The sequence below is a fragment of the Homo sapiens genome, chromosome 10 (assembly GCF_000001405.40).
Source record: "Homo sapiens chromosome 10, GRCh38.p14 Primary Assembly".
In the NCBI taxonomy this organism is placed as follows: domain Eukaryota; kingdom Metazoa; phylum Chordata; class Mammalia; order Primates; family Hominidae; genus Homo; species Homo sapiens.
Genome location: NC_000010.11, coordinates 4,113,560 through 4,139,971, shown reverse-complemented (window position 1 = coordinate 4,139,971; position 26,412 = coordinate 4,113,560). Strand labels below are relative to the sequence as shown.

Here is a 26,412-nt window from a genome sequence, read left to right as displayed (position 1 = left end):
GCCTGCCTTCCCCAGCCCACTGACTCAAATGTTAATCTTTGGTAACACCCTCACAGACACACCCAGGATTAATACTTTGCATCCTTCAATCCAATCAAGTTGACACTCACTATTAACCATCACACTATATATTCAATTTCATTCCCCTTCACCTTCCATGTATATCTGAGTATCACTGCAGGGATAAATACTAGCAAGTATGAATGGGAACCAGTTGAAGCATTACTTTTAACAAAAATAGCTAAAAGACATTTACTGTATATCCTGGTCAATAGGCCTCTCAAGGTAAGCAACAAACATATGATAGTTTGACCTCCAGAAAGAAAAGTGAGGGGACATTTACATGAATAGATTGTGTCTTATACACATCACTTAGCTCTTCCCTGTGTAGATTTGATTTTCCAAAAGTCCTTCACCAGGAGTCAGACCTGTGTCATTAACGGCCTTAGACAAACAAGCTTCTGTATTGTCAACTGTAATAAAGAAAATGTTTTCTAAAATCTCAACAAGACAATAAATGTGAAGAGCCAAAACAAGGTCTAGAACCAAATAGGTACCGAATAAATGGAAGTTCTTGGTACTGTGGCTACTATTTAAAGGTTATTTTTATTATACACTCATACTCTCAAACAACAAAGAGTGGCTAACCATCGCATATTGTACACAAGCTATAAAATCTCTATCTCTGGAGAGTAAGATAAATATCTGTCTGAAGTGGTTCAAGTAAACCCTCCCAGCAGGGCAACAGAGGCAACACCTCATGTCTAATGTGGGTCTCAGCTCTCTCATTCTAGAATCTTCCTACTCTGCTTCTGTGGCATCTAAAAGCCTCCTCTTCATTCACTTCTTGGGTAAGTGTACTCATGAGACAGGTTGAGAACATCCGAATATATTGTTCAAAAGAAAATCATGCCAATAGTTACAGATAAAATTTGGAAACATATATACCAGTCCACTTAACTATAAGAATAATACAATCCTATTTAGCCTCTGTACAGACAGAACAAATAAAATATTTTAATAACCTCGGCTGTTTAATAAAAATTAGTCAGCTAAACCTGAAGCTAAAACAGCTAAAATTACAATTTTGAGCCAATTCTCTCTTGCTCTTTGTACTTGCCGTACATTAAGTATGTAAGATTACATTTAAAAATAACTTTGTGAAAATGCAGTGCATTAATGGCCATATTTTGAACCAGTCATGTAAATATGAGCATAATAATTAATAATAATTAATTTTAACTGCAGAATAGCAGATTAATCACTTGTGCAAACTTAAACTTGCACATAATTTGTCACTGTTGATGTCATGAAAGCTCTAGAGTAACTTTAATCCATGCACCTGCATTTAAATTATTTAATGATATTTTACATCGTATTAATCAAACATGATTAATCATCGTATAGGAGAGAATAGAATTTTGGCTCGTATAGTACTTTTCATAGTTGGGATTGCACAAAGTGTTTAGCAAATTAATGACTTAGGTGTGCAGTGACTGGTAAATCCTATAAGGTCATGGCCCCATTATCACTCACAGGCAACCATTGGTTGTAGAGCTCATTTTACTATTGCAATAAGGTCTTTTAATGTCAACATTTATAACAACCATGGAAGGAATAGCAGGAATTCTTACAATACCTCATTAAGTAACAAAGCTATGACAATGCAAAAAAAAATCAGACTGGAATTTAATCAGCACTGAAATTCCCACTCTATGGCTCCAGAGGCATAGAGAATGTTGGAAACTCTTGATCAAGGGTGAAGCTTCTCCTCTTTCTTGTTCATGATAACATCCAACTCAACTGATTGCTCACAGTATTGTCATTTCTTTATTTAAAAAATAATTGCAGAATTTTAATTACCACTGAACACATAATTTGAGGGAATTTTATTGGTGTAGCTTACACACTGAAAAGTGCACACATCATAAGAATATGCACAATTGAAGTGCAAAAAATGATAATTTTCACAAAGCAATCACCTCTGTGTCACCACTGCCATGACCAGGAAATAAAACATTGCTAGCAGCTCAGATACTCCCATGCCCTAGAAGTCACTACCCTCACCAAAAGCATCCACTATTCCGTCTTTCACACTTGAGATGAGTTTTGCATTTGAAAATCGCAATGAAACAATCTTGTTTTTTGAATGCACCACAGTGTCCTCGTTCTGCTCTTCATATGCATTGGTTGTTTTGCCTTCGGAGTTGTTATGAAGAGTGTCACCATAAACATTCTTGTACACATCTTTTTATGAACACTTGTCCTCATTTTGGTTGGATAGATTCCTAGGAGTGGAAATGTGGGTGATACCGAATGTGTATGTCCCATTTTAGGAGAAACCACCACACATGGGCTACACATGCCAAGGTTTCCACCAACAAGGGTTGAGCATTCAGGCGGCCCCTGTCATTGCCACGGCCTGCCATTGCTCACCAATGTTGACTCAGCAGTTCTGGTTGGGGAGCAATGAGGTCTCATTTGATTTTAAGCTGCATTTCCCCATGACTAGTGATGTGGGACATTTTTTATATGCTTATTGGTGACTCATGTAGCCTTTTTTGTAAAGCACCTGTTCAGTTCTCCAGGTTTTATTTCTATAGCATTGACTGTCATATTTAATAATTTTTAGAACTTTGGCTGGGCGCAGTGGCTTACACCTGTCATTATAGTGCTTTGGGAGGCTGAGGTGGGTGGATCGCTTGAGGCCAGAAGTTGGAGACCAGCCTAGGCAACATAGTGAGACCGACCCCATCAAAACAACAACAACAAAAGTTTAAATTAACTCGGTGTGGTGACATCTACCTGCAGTCCCAGCTACTCAGGAGTCTGAGGCAAGAGGATCACCTAAGCCTGAAAGTTCAAGGCCGCAGTGGGCCATGATCACATACCACTGCACTCCGGCATGGGCGGGAGAGTGAGACTTTGTTTCAAAAATAAATAAATACTTAATTTTAAGAACTGCTTTACATATTCTGCATGCAATTCTTTTGTGCCACGTGGATTACAAATATCTCTACCCAGTCTGTAGCTTGCTTTTTCAGTCTATTAATGGTGTATTTTGATGAAAGTTCTTAATTGCAATGAAGTCCAATTTGTGAATTTTTCCCTCATACTCAGTGCTTTTGGAGTCCTTTTAAAGAATTCTTTACTCATCCCAAGGGCACGGAGATACCCTTGTCTTTTCCTTTAGAAGTGTTTTGTATTCCTTTCACATTTAGATCTGTAACCCACCTGGCATTAATTTTTATGAACGATGTTTGATAGGGTCCAAATAGTTTCATATTAGGCAAACAATAGTGAACAAACCACAGTACCTGACTTCAAAGACCTTGATTTCTAATGAGAGAAGCAGACAATTGACCAATTAATTACAATAGAGTAGATAATTCTAAGTGATACTATAATAAGAAAAGGAAATGGTTATTTTAAAAACTACTCTTTGAGTTTGGATTTATAGGCCTAAGGAAAATGCCTTAATTGGTTGGTCTCATAATGGCAGGCAAGGTTTCCTGACATAGGTGATTTAGACTTCTTTAGAGAAACAAGAGCCAAACTGCTCTGCATAATAATTAACACGGGTGTTCAGTCTTCCCCTGAGAGAAGTAAAACCAGAGAATGGTTTGTTCTAAAATAGTAGCATAAGGGTGTTTCATCAGCAGTGGTTTCTGCAGCCACAGGCCTAAGAAGGATGGCCCCTGACTAATCACCTGTAGCAGGAAAAGCAGTGATGTTTAATATTCTATTTCCAGTGTTCCCTTTTACAGACTGCCATATAATCTCCTTCATTCATGCTTACAGACTGAGTAGGTGTGTGTATATTCGACAGTCTAGAAGAAGGTGGGTTTGTTTAAGTTTTCTTCTACCTTCTCTGTGTCCTCCACATTGTCTTTTTTCTGTTTGTTTCAACAACTATCTTCCATAGTAAAAGAATTTACACAATGCCCAGTGATCTCTGGCTGGCTAAACCCTCCATTCCTTTGTCCCTGTCTAGTTTTGGGATACCTGGTCAAGCCACAGTCTTTATGTAGAGCAACGGCAGCTGTGCCTTTGACACTGACAGGAAATCACACAACCAACCTGAGTGTTGTCATTTCAAACATTGACAATCACAACACAACTGCATCCTGATGGTGGCCTGGCAATCATTGTAATAACGTTATAATTCTATATTCCACTTCCCTTATCTGTTCTCTAGACTCTCACTTAATAGCTCTCCTCTACAGAAATCTTCACTACCTCCCACGGCCTCATCACCTTCAGATGATGACTGTGCCTTCTGTTTACTGGGAAAATTGAAGAAATCAGAAGAGAACTTCTGTGTCTTCATAGCTTCCCACGTAGCACCACCAGTAACCATCCATTCTAAGTTCCCATCTATACCTATAGATACATTATCCCTCCCCCTGTGCAAAACCAATCACTTGTTCGTAGAGGTCATCCTCTCTTGCCTTTGCAAAGACACAGCTCCTGGAACCCTTCTTTTTTATTCCCACATTATTTCATTTTCTCTCTCTCCCCTATCATTCCCTCCAGCATGCAAACATGCTATCATACCATCTTTGCAAACATAGCTCCTCTGATTTACTTTTTCTACCAGCTAAGATTATGCTCCCTTTTGCAATATAATTCATTCAAATAATCACCCATACCTTTTGTGTGAAGTTCCTCTCACTCTATTCTTGTTGAACCTTCTCCAATGAGGCTTTCATCTCACCCTACCTCCATACTCCAACCAAACTGCTCTTGTCCAGTGCACCAACGATGACCTGCCTGTGAAGTTTCATGGCTAATTCTCACTCCTCATATAAAGGAGTTGCTATGCCTTCTTAGCTGAAGCACTGCTCTCATTTAGCTTCTAGGACACTGCCCAGGTCTGCCCCTTTTCCCCTGAACTCATTGATCCCATCTCCTTGGGCTTCTCTGCTTTTTCCTGCTCTTGTTCCCAGCCTCTTGCTTGCTGGTGCCTCAAGGTGTGAGCCTTCTTCAGCCCTTTGCCATCTATGCTCTGGCCCCTCAAGATCACATCTAGCCTCATGCATTCTTTAAGAACATCCACATGCAAATGGTGCTCAGATTTCATCCCCAGCTCAGATTTCTTTCCTGGAGCTGGACGTGCTCATTAACTCTAGTCCGTTTGCCTGCCTGGTTTTCTGATAAATACCCAGCTTATTACTTCTAAAACGGAGGTGTTGTCCTCTCCCTTCTATCTGATCCTACTGTAGTACTCATCACACACTCTCCATTGATCAAAATTCTGTTCAATTCGTCCTGTAGGAAGGTTAAAACCTTATTTTCATCCTTATCTTATTTTTCTCAACTCTTGTAATCCAAACTATTGAAGGACACTTGTCTTTTCCTTCAAGATGCAGAATGAGAGCACTTACAACCTGAAGGTCTTTGTTCTGTCTGTGGCCATACCACCCTGAACGCACTGGATCTCATCTGAAGGTCTTTGCTCTCACTCAAGACATCACCATCTCCCCCTGCGTCATGTTACCTGGGCTCCAGTGTCTTAGTCCATTTCCCGTTGTTTATGACAGAATATCTGAAACTGAGAAAGTTATTTTAAAAAGGAATTTTTTTTATACATATGGAGGCTGAGAAGTCCAAAGTCTAGGGCCTTCTTAATGATGGAGATTTTACCAAAAGTTATCTCCTCAACTAGAGGTCTACACTAAGCAGTTTTTTTTTCTTCTCAAAATTCCAACCCAACCCCTCAAAACCCAACATTTAAGATACCTCTTACCCTATTTTTTTCTTAGCACTTATCATTTTCTGGAATACCATATAATTTACTTACATGTTATATTTATAATTAATTATGTAAAAAGTATCCTCCATGAGGGCTGGAATTTTTTTAAATTGATTTAACACAAGTTGGTGGACTAGTAGGTGCTCATTAACCTTTAGTGAATGAATGTGTATTCCAGGACAGAAGATAGGCTCACAGAGGAGGATTTTAACTGTACTATAATAGAGACTGCTCTGTTGTCTACCTAATTTAAGAAATAGCAGCAGCTTTCATTTAAGATGAAAATTAATGTCAAAATCCAATAAGTATTTTATTATATTAAATTATATGTGCACACAGCAGAAACACACTCAGATAAACGTTGATGAATTTTATTCAACTTTAAAATTTTGCAAGTTTAACGAAGTATTTAAGGATTGGATACAGAGATAAATAACTTAGGTTGATTCTACCTTGTGAGTAAAATGATGATTTTAGTTTTTTTAGTATGCTGGATGCTTAAGTAATTTAATTTTAGTTCTATTTTAATTGGAGTAGGTTCTGCTTGTAAATGCTACATGTTTCACTAGACAAAATAGGGGTCATTGTTTCCTTCACAAGGTCATTGAATCCATTCAGACTCAGATTCAACAACATACAATATTTCTAAACCTGTCTAAATGGTGTCCACAGGTCACATTTAAAACATTGAATTTATTGACTAGCTTTGTGAGAAAAAGTTGAGTCATTTATTTAGTTTTTTATTTCTTCAGTGATGCATTCTTTTTTGTGACCTTCTGGTCCTTTAGTCCTTGTTACTCGCTTCAACAATGTCCTTCAATAGTTTGGATTACGAGAGGTGAGAAAAATAAGATAAGGATGAAAACAAGGTTTTAACCTTCCTACAGGACTACTTGCTACACAATGATGTTTTCATTGTGTAGGTATTAAAATATATGTATTTATACACATATATAGGAATTTTATGTTCAATTAATTATTAAACTCCTTGAAGGAGTAATACGGACTACGCATCTTTGTATTTTTCCATTCCTAGAGCTTGAGATGAGTACCCAATAAAGGTATTTGTCTTTATTGATCACTTGAAAACATTTAACTCACTTCTGTCCACCTGGTCTCAAAATTTAGCACACCACTCTAACTGATATGCCATGAAGACTGGTCACAGACAAAAGTGGGACTGTGTTTTGTTGATTTCCAAAGCCATTCGCCAGGAGCGCGGCCCCAGGAGCATTTTTCTCATCATGTGAATGCCACCGTTGTCAATCCACTCCATCCACAGGCAGACAGCAGCACAGCCAAGGTCAGGTGCAATGTGAGGGGGTCCCCACAGGGGTGATATCTACACATGACCGGACCTTTCATTAGAGGAATGAAGAAATTAGAAGACACTCAAAACTTAGAAGGACTTAGAAGTAATTTTATTGAGGCTGAAACAAAAATATCCTACAATTCTAAAAACAGTAAACTAGATGACATATTTTTCTGTTGCTTTTGAACAGAAAATGGGCTACTGTGTCAAAGAAAGTACAAGATTATTAGTGTCACCAAAACACAGAAGTGGAGAAGCATTTATCATTATTGGGTGTGTGCGTGTTGGTGAAGTTTGTGTGCACGTGTGTCTGTCTCACACAATCTGCATGTGTCTGTGTTGGTGTGTCTCTGTGTATGCCTGTGTCTCTGTGTATCTGCTTGTGCCTGTGTTGGTGTGTCTGTGTGTGTGTGTGCCTGTGTCTCTGTGTATCTCCTTGTATCTGTGTTGGTGTCTGTGCGTGTGTGTGTGTGTCTCTGTATCTGCTTGTGTCTATGTTGGTGTGTGTATATGTGCCTGTGTCTCTGTGTGTCTGTGTTGGTGTGTGTCTATGTGTGTGTGTCTGTGTCTCTGCATCTGCTTGTGTCTGTGTTGGTGTGTGTGTGTGTGTCTGTGTCTCTGTGCATCTCCTTGTGTGTGTGTGTGTGTCTGTGTCTGTGTTTCTGCTTGTGTCTGTGTTGGTGTATGTCTGTGTCTGTGCCTCTGTCTCTATCTCCATGTGTGTCTGCGAGTGTGTCTGTGTGTCCTCTATCTCTGTGTTGTCTCGCTGTATATGTCTGTGAGTGTGTGTGTGTCATCTGTATCTCTGTGTTGTCTCGCTGTGTGTGTCTGTGAGTGTCTGTGTTAGTGGGTGTGCTCAATTTGATACAAGTCATTTTATTTTGTGAAGATGTAAGTACTTCACTTTTCCTTTCCCAGTATCTGCAAATTTCAACTGAGATCTAATTTTATTGCTCAAAGTGAAACTGTTCTGACTAATATCTGATGCTTGATGTTAGCTATTCTCATTCTTGGAATTATTTAAAATTCCACTGAAAGTACAAACTTAAACTGAGATTTTTTTTTTTTTTTTTTTTTTTTTTTGAGGAACTCAAACATGCAGAATTGAGATCTGAAATCTGCTGGCTGGTGCAGATTATAGCCTAAGATAGGAAGTTGGGGTTTTGGTTGCTTTAATGGAGAGGAAATGACTCATGTCAATGCTAGTATGTAATAAAGCTCCTAAATTTAGCTTTCCTTTTAGTGTAAAACCTAATATTGATATAGTAATGTGAAACTTTATTTTACTAAACTACAATTTTCTTGCTGCCTCTTCCATCTGCCAGTCAATTATTACATCTTTCATTAAGATCATGTTAAGACATATTTAGTGTACATAAAAATGTCTTGAAAATCCCAGTTGACTTCACAGTACACGCTAACTTTGGAAGCGTTGTGCAACCAACTAAGTCCAAACAAAGGGCCCTGTGTCTATTTGAATTTTGAGACAAAACACAAAGTTCTCGGGGATTAGTATCATGATTAAATATATCCCTTGACACTTACAGAAAGTGTATATATGTTTACAGACAAAAGGTGTTTCAAAAGTAGAATTACTGTTATCGTTCCCATTTCTTATTGTTATTATTTGCCAGGATGTCATAAGGTACAGTAATAGGGGATGAAAACAAATCTTCGTGTAAAAATCATAACTTTGTACTCTTACTGGAAACTGGGGGAAAAAATGAAAGAGTCCAGGTAGGGATTTATAGAGAGAGCATTTACAAATTCTTTATGGATTTTCACTAAATGTTTACTAACTGCTCTGGACACGTATGCTGAGGTCTCTTCACAACAGTGCACCTGAGAAACACAAAGATTAAGAAAATAAGAGACCATTTTTATGTCAGAGCTTTTTTGCTCTTTGTAGTAATTTAGACGACCCAACCACAACCACAGGAGACTCCAGCAGGAACTACGTAGAATGAGGCAAAGGTGCTCTCTCTTTGAGGAAGGAAGGAAGGGGTTGGTTTTATGCCTCATGGGGTCTTATTACACAATAGACTCACACATGGTCTGCAAGTTTGGGGGAAAAGCTATACATATTTAAGAGGAGAGTGGAACGCATGTGCAATGGGTGAATGTGTATGTAACATACATCCCGTGTTCACTTTGGGGCAGGGTTTCAGCATTAAAATGAGGTGGGATTAGCCCTTTATGTCAACAGATGAACTGCAGGAAACAAAAACAGTTTGTGCACAGCCTCTATAAGCTGCTGAAGCTGCCTTCAAGTCTGCCATTGTTTATCAGAAAAGAATGTTTGTAAAGCTATCAGAATGGTAGTGGTCTGGGTTGCAAATCAGAGCTTTGAGGGGTCTGATAGCAACCATTGTGAGGGAGCTTAGCGAGTGTGGTTTGTTTTGTACCTGTGTAAATTTGGAAATTTGCCACACCAGCCAGGCTCTGAACCTTTGAGACATAGGTAACTCCGTTCCCTTTAGCTTAGGGTCCATGTTTGTCGATATAGGGGTGTCTATTTCGATCTCTCATATCACAGACATGATGATATTGTGGCAGCTGTACCACATCCCTGCCACAGAAGCAGCTGTTCTATCAAGACAAGGACCTGCCATCCCTGCCGCTGCATTGGTTAGAATAAGTCAGTCACAGGTCTCACCACTCTAGAGGAGGCCACCACTCTAGGATGGGATTCCTGCGGTCGCTTCTCAGCGTCTCTCACCATCTAGACAGCACAAGTCATAGGGGCATGGAGCCCCCGATCGCAGGTCTGCAACTGAATTTTGCCCGTAGATCATTTAGTGGGAGAGTCAAAGTGCCAAAATAAACATTGTGTTACACGCAGATTCCACAATATTTATTTTTTGACTCATAATCCATTTCTTTCCTTATCGAATGATCATTATCTCATTGTAATTAACAGTTGCCAATGCTCCCACTTGTACTTTTTTTTTTCCTTGTGAAGAAAACCATCCCATAAATAGCAAGTGCAAAGTGGTAGTGCCACAGTGGAGTTACTGTTTTTTCCCCCTTCTTGTACATGAAGAAAATTTTACATCTGTAGTTGATGCCTTTACTGGCTTCTCAATTAGTGGAAACAAATTTGTCATTGCAGACAGTAGCTCCAGTGACTTGTGGCTAATGGATTCACCCTTTGAGCAGAACTTTATGATCCAAAACAGCCTATCCCACACTTGTGTTTTTCAAGCTATTGATAGGTGCACCTTGAGTGAAGGGGATGGAGGTGGGAGAGGGAGAGATGTCAGAATCAAAAAACATTGTGAAATCTTGAGATTTTGTTTGTTTTTTTTTTAAGTTAAAAAGATTTCTCAACACTTTACACTGATGTGTTTTGTGAAATGTTCAGAGGTGGATATTGCTTTCCGTATAGATTGTTCAACAAAATTTGAGGCCATTATTTTGGACTAAACTCCTGCGATCGCAACAGACCAGACAAATCATAGTGGGGTCACCCAGGCTTACCAAACCCAAACCCAAACTGAGCAGTTCTCTGCCCTCTGAGGAACCAGGAGAGAGATAGCCTAACTTCCTGAACAGGACAGGTTTAGTCTTCAATGGGCAGGATAATGAAGTTCCCTGTGTTTAAATCCTTAATCTGAAGTCACATCATGTGAACTCATCAGTTTTTCTATTGTTTCTTCTTTCTGGCCCCAGTTGTTACAGGAAAGCGATTCTGATCCAGACCCCAAGAGAGGGTTCTTGGATTTCGCGTAAGGAAGAATTCAGGGTGAGTCTGCAGTGCAAAGTAAAAGCAAGTTTATTAAGAAAGTAAAGTGGTGAAAATACGGCTACTCCACAGACAGAGTAGGACAGACCCGAAAGTAAGAGGAGGAATGTGTCCACCCTAGGTACAATACTTGTATATGTAGGATAAAAAAGATCATGAAGAGATAAGCTCTGCTACAAGGGTTTGTGATAAAGGATTAATTTTCTCAATTACTATATTTTGCAAGAATCGATATTATTATCTTTAAAGCAAAATTAGGAATGCCTTTGTTCTCCAGATATCGGGATATCTAGACACTCCCGAGTCTGGGTCTGCTTAATAAACATCTAGAAGCTAAGGATGCCTGACTTTCTGGAAATGCAGCTCAGCAAGTCCCAGCCTCGTTTTCCTAGTCCTCACTCAAGATGGAGTCGCTGTGGTTCAAATGCCTCTGACACAGTGGCTTACAAGGAAAGTAACTTGGAAGCACCCAATACACTTTTTATTCTTTGTTTCTCTTTCTTCAGCCCTTTTTCTATCTGTAAAGCCAATCTCCTGTGTTCAGTTCATTGGAACACATATTCCATTTTAGAGAATATAGTGCTGCCTGATTCTAGGATGTCAATAAAGCCAATTGGCATCTTGGAACGGAATTTGTTGTCATTTTGTCTTTTGCAAGATGAAGGTTTCTTGAGCAAAACCATCATGGTGGAGGGGCTTCCGCACAGTGCCTGTTGATGAAATCAAGAGCATGAGGGACTCCTTCAGGAAAATCCTTCAGAGATCTAATTAGAAAGAAACCTGTCCCAAAGCTTGGCACATTAGTGATGCAGGCTACATATTTATTTCCTATAAATTCTGAATTGTAAACTTGGTAACAAATAGTAACTGGACTTCAGAGTCTGGTGACCTTTAGAGGCTGTTGACTGCAAGTATTCATGGATTAACTGTGCTGAGGCTGGAGGGTACAGTGACCCAAGGTTAACTACATGAGCCAGGGCTTTCGCAGCTTCCTCATTTTGTTGACTCTGTACCAGGAAACCAAAGCTCCTTCCTCTGAAATGAATGGTTCTTATTTGCATAATGGCCTCCTTTTGTTCACTTTGCAGAGGCAGTTGATTACATTAGAATACTTCAAACACAGCATTGATCTATCAGGCTAATAATTTTCTGATAAGGCCCATGAATTTTCCCTCTGACCTTTTTTGCTAATGACCACGGTCTGTGAATTGTGGAATGAAGCGTATGGGTTGTTTGTGTCTGCAGATTCTAGAAGACAAAACATTACAACCTATATAATAAACCACAATTTTAAAAGCTGGTTCTTTGTTTGAGTTGGAGCAGGTTAGTCTGCATTCGGTAAAATCTAGCTTGCCCACAAATTCCGAAAAGCAGGTGGCTAAGTAAAATGTATAGGTTTATTCCTCTCACGCATGAGTCAAATCCAGAAGAGAGTGGTCCCAGCACTGTGTTTGAATCTCTGCACCCTGCAATCCCAGTTCCTTTTAGTGGTCACTTTGAAATGGCCTTTGCAAAATTATGACTGAGACAGTGAAAGAGATCTAACCTAACTGACTCCATCTTGCTTTTAACCTCTAAGCTGTCCGTGTTCCTTCCTGGGTGTAGGCTGAAGTAACTTTGGGAGGAACTTGGTTTATAGTGGTTTTTTTGTTGTTTGTTGGTTGGTTGGTTGGTTTTTCCAGACAGAGTCTTGCTCTGTTGCCCAGGCTGGAGTGCAGTGGCTCCATCTTGGCTCATTGCAACCTCCACTTCCCGGGTTCAAGCGATTCTCCTGCCTCAGCCTCCTGAGTAGCCAGGACCCACCACCTGGCCCCAGTTAATTTTTGTATTTTTAGTAGAGATGGGGTTTTACCATGTTGACCAGGCTAGTCTTGAACTCCTGACCTCAAGTGATCTGCCCACCTCAGCCTCCCAAAATGCTGGGATTACAGGTGTGAGCCACCATGCCTGGCCAGTTTATAGTTTATAGTTCAAAACAAAAACTATTAACAGCCCTTTCCCAAAACAAACCACCTTCTTGCCTGGGGACTAGACTGCCTTTGTAGAACTAAGAAATTACACACGAGATTGGAAATCATGATTTAGGAGTCAGGCAGCTGGAGGCTACAAGATTCTAACCCTCTCTACGCTGCTCCTAAGATCAGCGCTTGAGATATTTTGCAGCCCCTGCACTTGATGGATCAGCTGCCACCGCCAGCTCAATAAACTGGCTCATCTGATCTTGTGGCCCCCACCTGGGAACTGACTCAGCACAAGAAGACAGCTCCGACTCCCTATGATTCCCTCTCAGACCAATCAGTACTCCAGGATCCCTGGCTTCCCCTTACCCACTAAGTTGTCCTTAAAAATTCTGATCCCTGAATTCTCAGGAAGACTGATTGGAGTGATAATAAAAATCCTGCCTCCAGCACAGCTGGCTCTGCATAAATTACTCTTTCTCTATTGCAACTCCCCTGTCTTGAGAAATTGGCTCTGTCTAGGCAGCAGGCGAGGTAAACCCACTGGTTGGTTACAACTTGATTAGGTCAGATCCACCCAGGTTAATCTCCCTTTTTAAAAATAAAATGTTACCTCTAATCAAAACTAATCACAGGAGTGATAGCCGATCCTCTTCACAGCCCTAGATGATACAGGACTTGTACAGCAGGGAGAGGAATTTTGGGAGGCACCTTAGAATTCTGCTTGTCACAGCAGGCCAACAAATATGGTCTTTATTCCAGGTGGTATGTGCCATGCAAAATGTATGAAGAACCAACAACTCTGAGAGAGATGTAATCATAGTAGGTTTATTCCCCAATACATGCACCAAGTCCACACAGCAAGATAGGGGCTTGCACCAGAGTAAGAGATTTAATTGTACAGTCACTGAATGAGGAGACAGGAGGAAACCTCTAATCCATCTCCACAAAGAATTTAGGGTTAGGATTTTTCAGGGTTTTGGAATGGGCCAAAGTGAAAAGATCATTGACTGATCAATGAGTGCAAGAAGAAGCTGTATTCTCATGCTGAGTCCATTCCTCTGTGGCTCTTCAAATTGGTTGCCCAAATTCAGGTCTGAAGAACACCTTAAGCAATCCTTAAACTAAAGCCTTATAATTCTAATGTCAGAGATCCAGTTTATAGGGACAGTGGAATGCAAATGGCTGGTATCTAGTGCTATGTGACGTTTAGAAACATGGAAGTGGGCCAGCATGCAGCCTGATGAATGCTTAATTATAACCATATTTCTGTCTAGAACCTGGTATTCAATTCCTGTCAACCTGCTGGGGATGGTTTCAGATTATTGCTGTGGCTGTGGTTTCATTCACATTAGTGCTTAAAAGAATGGTAGCATCCTTTGCTGCATTCACTGAAAATTTTGGTTAAAGAAAAGAAGTGGCCAAGAAACATGGTCTTCCACTAATCACTGAGTGTTCTTCCCCAGAACTAGTGAGGTTTTAGGTGATGATTGACCTCTACAACAATTTTTAGGAGTCCTACATTTGAAATTTTTCATTCTTTGGAGACTTCGGAAATGTATTATTATTATTATTATTATTTTATTTTATTTTATTTTATTTTATTTTTGAGATGGAGTCTCTCTCTGTCATCCAGGCTGCAGTGCAATGGCATGATCTTGGCTCACTTCAACCTCCGCCTTCCAGGTTCAAGCCATTCTCCTGCCTCAGCCTCCCAAGTAGCTGGGATTACAGGCATGTGCCACCAAGCCTGGATAATTTTTGTATTTTTAGTAGAGATGTGGTGGTTTCACCATGTTGGCCAGGCTGGTCTCGAATCCCTGACCTCAAGTGATCTGCTCACCTCAGCCTCCCAAAGTGCTGTGATTACAGGCATGAGCCACCGCTCCCAGCCTGAAATGTATTACTTTCTTTATCCCCTTATGTTGTATTTTAACTTTAAATACCATTCTTCCATACCATACCAATTGCACCTTACTAAGGAAACATGAAAACTTAATACACATGAGATGAATAAGTAGTTTGATTGTTTGCTGAGAAATTCATTATTTCCTATAGAAGATTCTTTCTGAGAGAGTAGATTCATTAATTCCAAAGAAGGCTGCAAACATATATCCTACTGTATGTTCTTGTGTGTGTGACTTTGAAATTCCTTCTGTTGAGAGATGGGTGACATTTTCTCTACCCTTGAGTCCTGCTGGTCTTTAGTAGCTGTGTGGCTCAGTAGTGTCTGTGTAGAAGAGAGCACAGTACTTCTAGCCAACTCTCTCAGAACCCTCATTTCTGGAGTGCTGAACCCCCATGTCAGATGTCTGAATCTACTGAAGCCTCCATGTTGTGAGGAGGCCCAAGATAGCTCATGTGCAGAGACCACATGGAGAGAACCTGAGATAGAGCCACCCAGCAGGCCCTAGTTGCTCCAGCTCCTTGTTGTTACAACACCAGCCACTTTGTGACTACAAATATGTGAGCATGCATGTTTTCATTTGTGTTGTGTTTATGTGTGTACTCACATATTTACCTGTATGTGAGTCTAAGCCCTGCCCAGACCACTGCAAGGGGAATTTGTTAACCAGGAAAAACTTACTGGAACTTTCCTTTGGTAAGAGCTGGCAAATTTATTGCTCTGGAAGTCATATAGAAAGCAAGCAAGATTACTGTAGACATTTTCAAAGCAAAATACAGGATGCATTTGCTATTTTAGTCAGCCCAGTATCTTTTTTTTTTTTTTTTTTTTTTTGAGACGGAGTCTCGCTCTGTCGCCCAGGCTGGAGTGCAGTGGCGCAATCTCAGCTCACTGCAAGCTCTGCCTCCCTGGTTCACGCCATTCTCCTGCCTCAGCCTTCTGAGTAGCTGGGACTACAGGCGCCTGCCACTACGCCCGGCTAGTTTTTTGTATTAATTTTTAGTACAGACGGGGTTTCACCATGTTAGGCAGGATGGTCTCGATCTCCTGACCTTGTGATCCACCTGCCTTGGCCTCCCAAAGTGCTGGGATTACAGGCTTGAGCCACAGCGCCCGGCCTAGTCAGCCCAGTATCTTATAGCTGTTGACGACATTCTGGGGATATGAATGTAGCTTACAAACGCTAGTATTTCTACAGAAAGCAGAAATAATTTAACTGTCATTTTCACATTTATATTTAATAAAATCAACTTTGGATCACAATGTGAGGTGAGAGGACTACTGCTACAATGTTATATAAATGTATACATTAATATTTATGCACCAAAAAGATTCGAGTGACTGTGAAGTGAAATAAGATAAGGAGTTGTGAAAAACAAGCTAATGATCATTTAAAATTTTAATGCAGGTATACCTCAGAGACATGGCAGGTTTGGGTCCAGACACTACAATAAAGTTAATATTGTAATAAAGCCAGTCACACAAATATTTTGGTTTTCCACAGTATATATGTTATGTTTACACTATACTGTAGTCTATTAAGTATGCAATATAACTGTGTCTAAAAAGATGTACATACCTTAATTTAAACATACTTTATTGTTACAAATGCTAACGATCATCTGAGGCTTCAGCTAGTTGTAATCTTTTTGCTGCTGGGAAGGCTGAGGTGACTGTGGCAATTTCTTAAAATAAGACAATGAAGTTTCCTACATTGATTGACTCTTCCTCTTACAAAAGACTTCTCTGTAGCATGCTGTGCTGTTGGATAGCATTTTACCCATAGTAGAACTTCTTTCAAAATTTGAATCAGTCCTCTCATCTCCTGCCACTGCTTTATCAACTGTGTTGATGGAATATTCTAACTCCTTTGTTGTCATTTCAACAATGTTCTCGGCTTCTTCACCAGGAATGGATTTTATCTCAAGAAGCCACTTTCTTTGCTCATCCATAAGAAGTGACTCCTCATTCGTTAATTCTGCTAGCTTTAAACTTTTCTTCTGCAGTTTCCCTGCTTCTTTCAGTCTTCACAGAATTGTAGAGAGTGAAAGCCTTCCTCTGGATTAGCCTTTGGCTTAAGGGAATGAGTGGCCAACTCGATCTTCTATCCAGACCACTCAACTTTCTCCCTATCAGCAATAAAGCTATCTTACTTTCTTTTCATTTCTGTTTTCACTTGAGTAGCACTTTTAATTTCCTTTAATAACATTTTCTGTGCATTCACAAATTGGCTAAATGTTTGGCACAAGAGGCCGAGCTTGTGACCCTTCTCAGCTTTCAGTATGCCTCCCTCACTAAACTTATTTCTAGCTTTTGATTCGAAGTAGAGACAAGGGATTCTTCCTTTCACTTGAACACTTTGAGACTATAGGTTATTAATTGGCCTAATTTTAATATTATTGTGTCTCAGGAAACAGGGAAGCCTGAGCAGAGGGAGAGAGCTGGGGAACGGCTGTCTGATGGAGCTCTCAGAACACACACAACACTTCTCGATTAAGTTTGCTGTTTTATATGGGTGCAATTTGTGGCACCTCCAAACAATAAGAATAATGTCAAAGATCACTGATCCCAGATCATAGTAGCAAATATAATAATGAAAGAGTTTGAAATATTTGAGAATTAACCAAAATGTGACATGATGGCATGCAGTGCGCACCTGCTGTTGGACAAATGGTGCTGATAAGTTTGCTTCATGCGGGGTTGCCGCAAACCTTCACATTGTAAAACACCCATTATCAGGGAAGCACAAGAAAGCAGACTGCAGTAAAGCAAGGCGGGCCTGTATGTAGCAAACAAAATAACTGCAATTTTAACAAATGCATACTTTCAGAAATTTTGATATTGCTTGCTTTGAGACATACCTCTATTCGTATATTATTTCTTCTGGTTTAATATCTCCAGGAGTTTTAGAGTTACGCGCAACTAACATTTGTTTGCGGATCTATGCACTTGGTCCCTTATTCGTTGACATATCTCTCATTTAAGATTTTTTTTTTTATGAAGTGGATTCTTTGTTTGGTATTCATATCTTCCAAATGGTAATCCAGAGATAATGAATGAAGGGGTTTTTGTGAGTGCCAGTACTTGACACTCACATCAAGGTTAATGTGGGTCAGTCAAAACTCCCTTGTGTATGTGTACAGGTTTTTCTAGGAAAGGGTGAGGGGCTTGGGCTTCTGTCTTAAACAGCAATGCCAGAATGTCCCTGCCACACAGCAAGTAGGTTTTTGTCCAAAACGACTTATTAAAGAGTTGAAAGATATTGTTCTTGAAATCTATTTTTAACAGTCTGTGTCTGCAGTGACCTTAAACATATGACAGATGACAAAATGTAATCTCTTTTGAAATACTGTACGTGCCCACTTCATGCATTTTAAACACAGGGCCACTCCGAGCGCAGAGTGTCCCCTGTCAGCAAATGTGCTGTCAGCTGGTTTCCGTGTAGATTTCTTCTGCAAAGTTTCCATATGCATGCAAATATTTACTTCCTTTCTGATTCACAATCATTACAGTTATGGGAATCAAGTGCAGCAGCAACATTACATGCAAATAGGAGAAGAAAGGACAGACAGGAGTGGTGGGAAGGGACGGTGGGGGAAAAGGAGCGAAAGGAACCTTGACACCACAACTGCGGCAGGAGATACTGACCAGGTGAGAGCACAAAGGAAGCAGCTGGAGGCCCGTGGGCACCCCCTGGAAGACCAGTGCAACCCTGGTACTTCTGTGACTCTGCCACAACACACAGACATGCACTGAACGCTGTTCATTTCATGCATTGTAAATTTACTTCTCCATATTCTTTTATTACTATTTCAACATTTAAAAAGGTCATTCTTGGCTGGGCGCAGTGGCTGACGATTGTAATCACAGTATTTTGGGAGGTTGAGGCGGGCAGATCACCTGAGGTCAGGAGTTTGTGACCAGCTTGATCAACATGGTGAAAACTGTTTCAACTGAAAATACAAAAATTAACCAGGTGTGGTGTCGCGTGCCTGTAATCCCAGCTACTTGGGAGCCTGAGGCAGGAGAATCACTTGAACCTGGGAGGTGGAGGCTGCTGTGAGCCGAGATCATGCCACTGCACTCCAGCCTGGGTGACAGAGTGAGACTCCATCTCAAAACTAAGAATAATAATATTTCTTTTAGACTAATTGTGTATCTAGGAAAATAAAGATGGATTAAATAAATCTTCTGAAATTAAGTGCGCTTAAGCGCTTTGTTTTGCAATTTTCAAAACATAAAACATATAAAAATATAAAGAGAGTTCATAACGTTTTTCAAGTAAAATCCCTGTAGGGTATTTATATGTAACTATATTTAAATTATTAACAAATGTAAACGGTGTTTTAAAAATATTAGAAATAAGATGCTTAGAAATAGTTTATTTGTGTACTCTCAGCACTTTCTGTGTATTTCTGTTCTTTAAATTATCTGCCAAAAAAAAAATTATTTGGGTAATGAGGGTAAAGAGAATAAACATTTCTTGAACACCTCTCTCTAGAACTTTGCATTTATCATCTCAATTACTTTGAACAGTAAACAAATTTGGAATGTGAGGCTCCAGGAGGTTAAGTGATCTGCCAGCATCACACACAGCATGGGAAGTGGTGGGGCTGACGGGGGTTTCCAGCTTGGTGTCACCCCACATGCCCTGCTCCTCGGGACCCAGCCCTGCTGGAGCCAGCATTGCCCAGCCAGCACCTCCTCAGCAACATGTGCTGCTTCTAATACTGAGATGGGCTCCTGTCCCAAGACCTGCCCTACATCAAAAATAAAATTAAATAACTAAGCACAGCTCAACATTTGTTTTTTGTTGAATCATAAAGTATAATTATTAAATATATTGCTAGTTTGTTTTCATTTTTGTTAGAAAGTTTGTCAAACTAATATGAACATTTTATGCATGAAGACAAGTTAGACTTCTTTTTTTTTTTTTTTTTTTTTTTTTAGACAGGATCTTGCTTTGTCACCCAGGCTGGAGTGCAATGGCATGATCTCAGCACACTATAACCCCCGCCTCCAGGGTTGAAGCGATTCTTCTGCCTCAGCCTCCTGAGTAGCTGGTATTACAGGTGCCCACCACTAAGCCCAGCTAACTTTTTGTAGTTTTAGTAGAGACGAGGTTTCATCATGTTGGCCAGAGTGGTCTTGAACTCCTGACCTCAGGTGATCCACCTGCCTCTGCCTCCCAAAGTGCTGGGACTACAGGCGTGAGCCACCGCACCCAGCCCTAGACTTCATTTCTTGAGTGAAATAGAAATGAAGTCTTCTTTTCAATATTGTTATATAATAGTCATACCTCCTCATCAACATACACCAAGAGCCATTCAACTTACTTTCAGAAGTGTGTGGCATAAGAGGGAACCATTAGCTTATTTGCTTGGCTACTAGAGTCAACCCTTCTTTAGACAGAAAAAGAGATAGGCAGGGGTGGGAGAGCAAGTAATCAGGTAATTAGAATAAACATATTTAACTTTTTAATCTGAAAAATATATAAAAAGTCATGTTATTCCATTCTACTTCAGTTTTCTAGAAGAAACTGTCATCAAGTGAATATGCGATTCTTGAATGCTAAGGTATCTTTGCATTTAGTTATAACATGGTATAATATATTTTTATTCTCCTATATAGTGGGTTGTGCTCAATATATACACAGTGACTATCTTCCTGTCTATAGCTGTCTGTATATGTATCTCATAGTAGCAGTAAGCTAGTGTTTAATCAGAAGAATCATAATTTCCTGTATCTGTTTAGAATTTCATAGATAAGGGCATTTTTACGTGCATTATCTCATATGTAAACTAAAGCAATTTGATTTACTTTCTTCACTGAACACTTTTCACCAAATCTACAACAATCCATCTCATGGATGGACAGAAATAAGGAGGTGTCAATAACTGAGCAGTCGGTAACTCTGGCCTGGCCCAGCGATGGAATGAACCTTGTCTCGGCAGCCTCGCACTGGTTACAGGGGTGGCCTTAGGAGGAAGCGATGGATGGGGGCAATGTCCAGAGGTGAATCCTTCTGGAGCTCAGCCACCCCTACCTGACAATGTGAGGGAGGTGGAGGAGGAACTCACATCCTCCTCCAGATATTCACCTGGCTTAGGGACTTGCAGAACGTTACCACCGAGTCTACTTAGAAAGCTGCCCAAGCCCTTCATCTCCTCCCCAAGAGGAAACTAAGACTCTCACCCAGTCTTGCACAGGTAATTAGGAAAACACAGAATTTGACCACAAGTCTCAAAACACCTTTCCCCTGGGAAAGTATTATTTTATTTTCTTGTGAGAACACACACTCACACACACACACACTATATATATATATATATATATATATATATATATATATATATATTCTATCTATATTTATCTATCTAATCAATCTCTTTTTAAAATTCTTTGTAAGCCCAAGAGAAAGGTAGAGATTAGATTTGTTTGCTGATGTTCCTTTATCTTTCTGAAGACCAAGAAACTTTTAATCTGAAATCTATGTGGCAATGTATATTCAATGTGGGGAAAAAACAGGATTTATGCTTTGCCTGGCTACTATTGTGATAGATCTGGTGATCAAGAAGGAGCAAGAAAAGGCGTTTAGTCCTCATCTCAGCACGAAAGTTCCTCCAGGGAATAAACCCACCTCCAGCCAACCCACCTCTCATCGAAGAGCTCACGAAGTGGAGTGATGTCACTAACCTGCAGGCTTCCAAGCCACTTCTATCAAGTCATGGTAGCAGATGCATTTTTATATTTTTAAGATCATTCTTGGCAACCACATGATACAGCAGGTGTGGCTGTTATAAACATGGTAATTAACTTTGGTCAATTATTTCTTAAAGTCTAGAATAATCTGTTCCATTTTTAATTATAAAGTCCTTTTTTTATAAAGTTACATAACCACAGAAGAGAAAGCTAGGAAAACCTCATAGTTCCACAACCATAGCAAACCAAATAGCATATTTATCTAGAAAAATTTTATCTGTGTATATTTATATCCCTGGGGACCTCTGGCCCTTGGTAACCTCTCAGTACCATCACAGAGGTCTAGTCTCCTCATGAGCTTTTCTACCTTTAGATCTTGCACCAATGCCTCTGATTTACCCTGTGTCAACCCAGATGTAAAACTCAACTCCTCTCCTCACTCCCAGGTGGCCCACCTGCCCCAGGCACAAGCACCATCAAGCACAAATCCATTCTGTCTCTACTGGGTACTTAGGAATTGTGCCATTTTGTAACCATCGAGCCCGTGACACTATAAAGACAACATTCAAGCACCGAGATCAGAAAGTTTCATAATTAACCAAAGTCCATGCGACATTTAACTTTGTTTGATATTTAGACTCTGATTTTCCTTGTATAGATGTTATTGTGCCTAAAATTTGTTGTAAATTTCTTTTTCCTCCCTCCCTCCCATCCTTCCTTCCTTCCTTCCTTTCTTCTTTCCTCCCTCCCTTTCTCCCTCCCTCTTTCTTTCTTCCTTCCTTCCTTTCTTTCTTTCTCTTTCTTTCTCTCTCTCTCCTTCCTTCCTTCCTCTCTCCCTCCATCTTTCTTTATTTCTCTCTCTCCTTCCTTTCTTCCTCCCTCCCTCTTTCTTTCTTTCTTTCTCATTGTCTCCCTCCCTCCCTTTTTCCTTCCTTCCTCTCTCTCTCTGTCTTTCTCCTTCCTTCCTTCCTCCCTCCTTCTTTCTTTCTCTCTCTTTCTCCTTCCTTCCTTCCTCCCTCCTTCTTTCTTTCTCTCTCTGTCTTTCTCCTTCCTTCCTTCCTCCCTCCTTCTTTCTTTCTCTCTCTGTCTTCCTTCCTTCCTTCCTTCCTCCCTCCTTCTTTCTTTCTCTCTCTGTCTTTCTCCTTCCTTCCTTCCTCCCTCCTTCTTTCTTTCTCTCTCTGTCTTCCTTCCTTCCTTCCTTCCTTCTTTTCTTTCTTTCTTGCTATCTTTCTTTCTCCTTCCTTCCTATTTTTTTCTTTCTTTCTTTTCCTCCCTTCTTCCCTCCCTCCCTCCTTCCTTCCTTCCTTCCATTTCCTCTCTGTTTCTCTCTCTCTTTCTCTTTCTTCTTCTCTTTCTTATTCTTTGACAACAGCAATATGTTTGTTCACTTTATCCGTAAGTTTGCACTATTTATTTTAGGGGTTGCACTTCCACGTAATTTCCTTGGGGCCTTTTTATTTTACACCCTAGTATGACCCAGTTGTTTTCTCAGCCTGCTATACAGTTGAATTCTAAAATTTATTTTCTTTCATTCTTTGATTAAATCTATGATTTCTTGAATTCTATTTACTCTTCATTTTCAGATGTTTTGGTTGTTTTGTTTTGCAGTTGATTCTTGTTTTACACCACCACATGGGTGTAGGTCACCTGCTGGTGACCTACAGGTATATCTAGGTCTTCTGATTTGGGTTTCATGTTGTTTTCTAGACCTTAACTTTCTTTAGTGGGGCCTGTACATTCTTTAGTTTCCTCCAGGTGCTGCTGATTCTTATTGCCTTATGCCTGGCCACAATTATTTTTTGATATTCTTGCAATAGCCGTATCCTTTTATAATCTCAAATGAGATGCATCATTTTTTACCCTCTCAAATGATTCTTGAGATTATAGAACCCTGGGTTCAGTGGTTTACCCTTAGAACCGCGACACGAATTTCTACAGACTTCTAGCAGAAAGGATTGCTGAAGAAAGTCCTTCACTGTTGCTGATGAGAAATCAGAAACTACATCAATCTGAGTTTTCTTTTATAAGTAATGGAAATTTAATCTTCTCTTTCTGGAAGCTTCTAAGATAGGTCAGTTATTCTTGGTGTGCTAAAAACTTTCTAAGTTCTTCTTTGTGTCAGTCCTTTTTAATTGTCAAATCAGCACAGTTTAAAGACCAATGCCTTTCTGCAGCTCTAGAAAATTCTACTCTATTTTGTTAGCTTTTTCCCTCCATTTCCCAAGTTTTCTCCTTTCTTGAACTAGATCAGTATTGACTCATTTATTGGCTGATTCTATTCTATTTTACATTTCTTTACCTCTTTGTCCAAAATATGAGAGATTCATTTGACAATATCTTCAATCTCTTCAATGCAATTTTATTTTTTCCAATTTCTGAAATACGTTGTATTACAAATTCCAAAAGTCCACCCAGAAACTCTCTCCATACTGACATGCAACCAGGGCTTCAAAGTTGTCTCCACAATCCACACAACAGCAAAAAAACAAAGAAGACAAAATCAACAATTCTTAGATTTATCAGAGAACTGAAGTCCCAGCACAAGCTAGAAACCCAAAAAGTAGAAAGGGAGACAGATATGGGTACAGAGAGTTACAACTCACTGTGGCTAAAACTCATGAGCAGAAACCTCCAAGGGAATAAGCAGCAGGGCAGGAAAGCCAGACCTGTCCTTCATGAAATGTTGAAGACCTAACATAGACAATTCTGAAAGAAAAATTCTCCAGGGACCCAGTCTTCTAGGGTCACCCACACTTCCATAAATTCCAGGATTCCTGGAAGTAAAATCGCCACTTTGAAATATGCCAGAATATCCAGTTCTTCTTAACGATGCGTCCTTCAGAATAAACCATTTTAACCAAAGCCTAACCTATTTGGGCAAAGGAGAAGACCCAACTCCAGCTCCCTTTAATCTTTCTGTCTAACCTAAGGAGTGAGGATACTTAGGAGCTCTTATGAAGATCACAGCCCAGGGACATAGGCTTGCTAAAAGACTAAGGCCTAATTATAGGACTGTATAACACTTTCTTCTTCCCCATAAAAGAGCCTCCAAATAAGACTCTTGTGTGATTACAGAGGGAGACAACTAAAAGAATTGCATCACACGTTATTTAAGAAGTCTGTAGGGAAACCCAAAGACAACAGGAAACCCAGTTCATTATGACTGACTTACAATAAAAATGTACAAGGCATATTAAAAGACAAAAGACACTTTTAAGAGACAGAATAGGCAAAACCGGACTCAGATATGGCAGTGATGTCAAAATTATCAGAGTAGACATTTAACAGCTATGATTGATGTGCTAAGAAATCTAATTGAAAAAGTGTACGAATCCAAAAGAGATGAGTAATGTAAGCACAGAGATGGATGATGTAAGAAAGAAATAAAAGAAAACTCTTGAAATAAGAAACACTGTAATAAAAATGAAGAGTGCTTTTGATGGGCTCATCAACAGAATGGAAACAGCTGAGGAAAGAATCAGGGAGCTTAAAGGAATGTCAACAAAAATGTCCAAAACTAAAATATAAAAGAAAAAGAGCAATGAAAAGATATAACAGAAAAATAGAGAACTGTGTAACAGTTACAAAAATGTATAATATACACATAATGGGAATTCCAGAGAAGAAGAAAGAGAGAAAGAAACAGAAAAAAATATTTGCAGCAATAATAACTGAGAATTTTCTAAAATTAATGATAGACACTAAACTGCAGGTCCAGGAAACTCAGAGTATTAATTAAGATATATACCAAAAAGTCTATTCTTAGGTACGTTATAAACAAACTGCAGAAAATCTAAACAGAAGCCACAAAAAAAAAAACACTTTTTCTATAAAGAAGCAAGGATAAGAATTACACCAGACATCACTTCAGACCATGCAAGCAAGAAAAGAGTGGAGTAAAATATTTAAAGTGTTAAAAGAATCATTAGCCCAGAATTCTGCATTCACTAAAATTATTCTTCAAAAGTGAAGGCTAAAGACTTTCTCAGACAAACAAAAACTGAGAAAATGTGTTGCTAGTCTAGCTGCCTTAGAAGAATAGTTAAAAGAAGTCCTTCAGAGAGAAGGAAATTATATAACTTGGACCTACATAAAGAAAGTATGATTGGGAGGCCAAGGCAGGCCAATTGCTTGAACTCAGGAGTTCAAGACCAGACTGGGTAACTTGGTGAGACCCTTTCTCTATAAAAAAATACAAAAATTATCTGGATGGTGGCTTACGTCCATTGTCCCAGCTACACGGGAGGCTGAGGTGGGAGGATCACTTGAGCCCAGTAATTCGGGGCTGCAGTGAGCTATGATTGTACCACTGCACTCCAGCCTGGGTGATAGAGTGAGAATTTATCTCAAAAAAAAAAAAAAATAGGAAAACAAACAAAAAAGAAAACGGAAGAAAAGCATGATAGGCATAAATGAGGATAAAATAAAATCTTTTATTTCTGTCCAGGATATTAATTACTGATTGAAAGTTTATTAATTATTGATTTTATTTATTTAAAAATTTATAGGCCTAATCAGATTGTCTACTTCTCCTTGTATGATTGTATCTGTCAAAGAAATGGTCCATTTCACCTATATTATTACATTTGTGGGGAAAGAATTGTTCATAGCACTTGTTTGTTCTCCTTTTAAGAAGAGATGGCCCCTCTTTCATTTCTGATGTTTGTAATTTGGATCTTTTCTCTTTTTCTCTCAGTTAACCTGGCTAGAAGTTTCTCATATCAATTTTATTTATCTTCTCAAAGAATCAGCTTTAATTTTATTGATTTTCTCTAATGATTTTATGCTTTCAGTTTCATTGATTTCTGCTCTAATTTTATTAATTCTTTTCTTTAGCTTACTTTGGATTTGTTTTTGTTTTCTAATTTCCTAAGGTAGAAATTTGATTATTCATTTTAGATTTATCTTCTTTTTTAATAGATGCATTTACTGCTACAAATTGCCCCGAGTACTGCTTTAACTGCATCCCACAAATTGAGAGCAGTCGTGTCTTTATTTTATTAGTTCTTGAGAGACTTCTTTCACCTATAGATA

General features: G+C 39.4%; 2 annotated features.

Annotated features, from left to right (window-relative positions):
• Positions 11,548-12,187: an enhancer, noted in NCBI's record as "OCT4-NANOG hESC enhancer chr10:4169977-4170616 (GRCh37/hg19 assembly coordinates)". NCBI's record gives its function as "activates a minimal SCP1, AML or CMV promoter by ChIP-STARR-seq in naive H9 embryonic stem cells {active_cell/tissue: H9 hESC(naive)}" and the evidence as "EXISTENCE:reporter gene assay evidence [ECO:0000049][PMID:30033119]".
• Positions 11,609-11,809: a silencer, noted in NCBI's record as "peak849 fragment used in MPRA reporter construct". NCBI's record gives its function as "represses an SCP1 promoter by STARR-seq MPRAs in K562 erythroleukemia cells {active_cell/tissue: K562}" and the evidence as "EXISTENCE:reporter gene assay evidence [ECO:0000049][PMID:32103011]".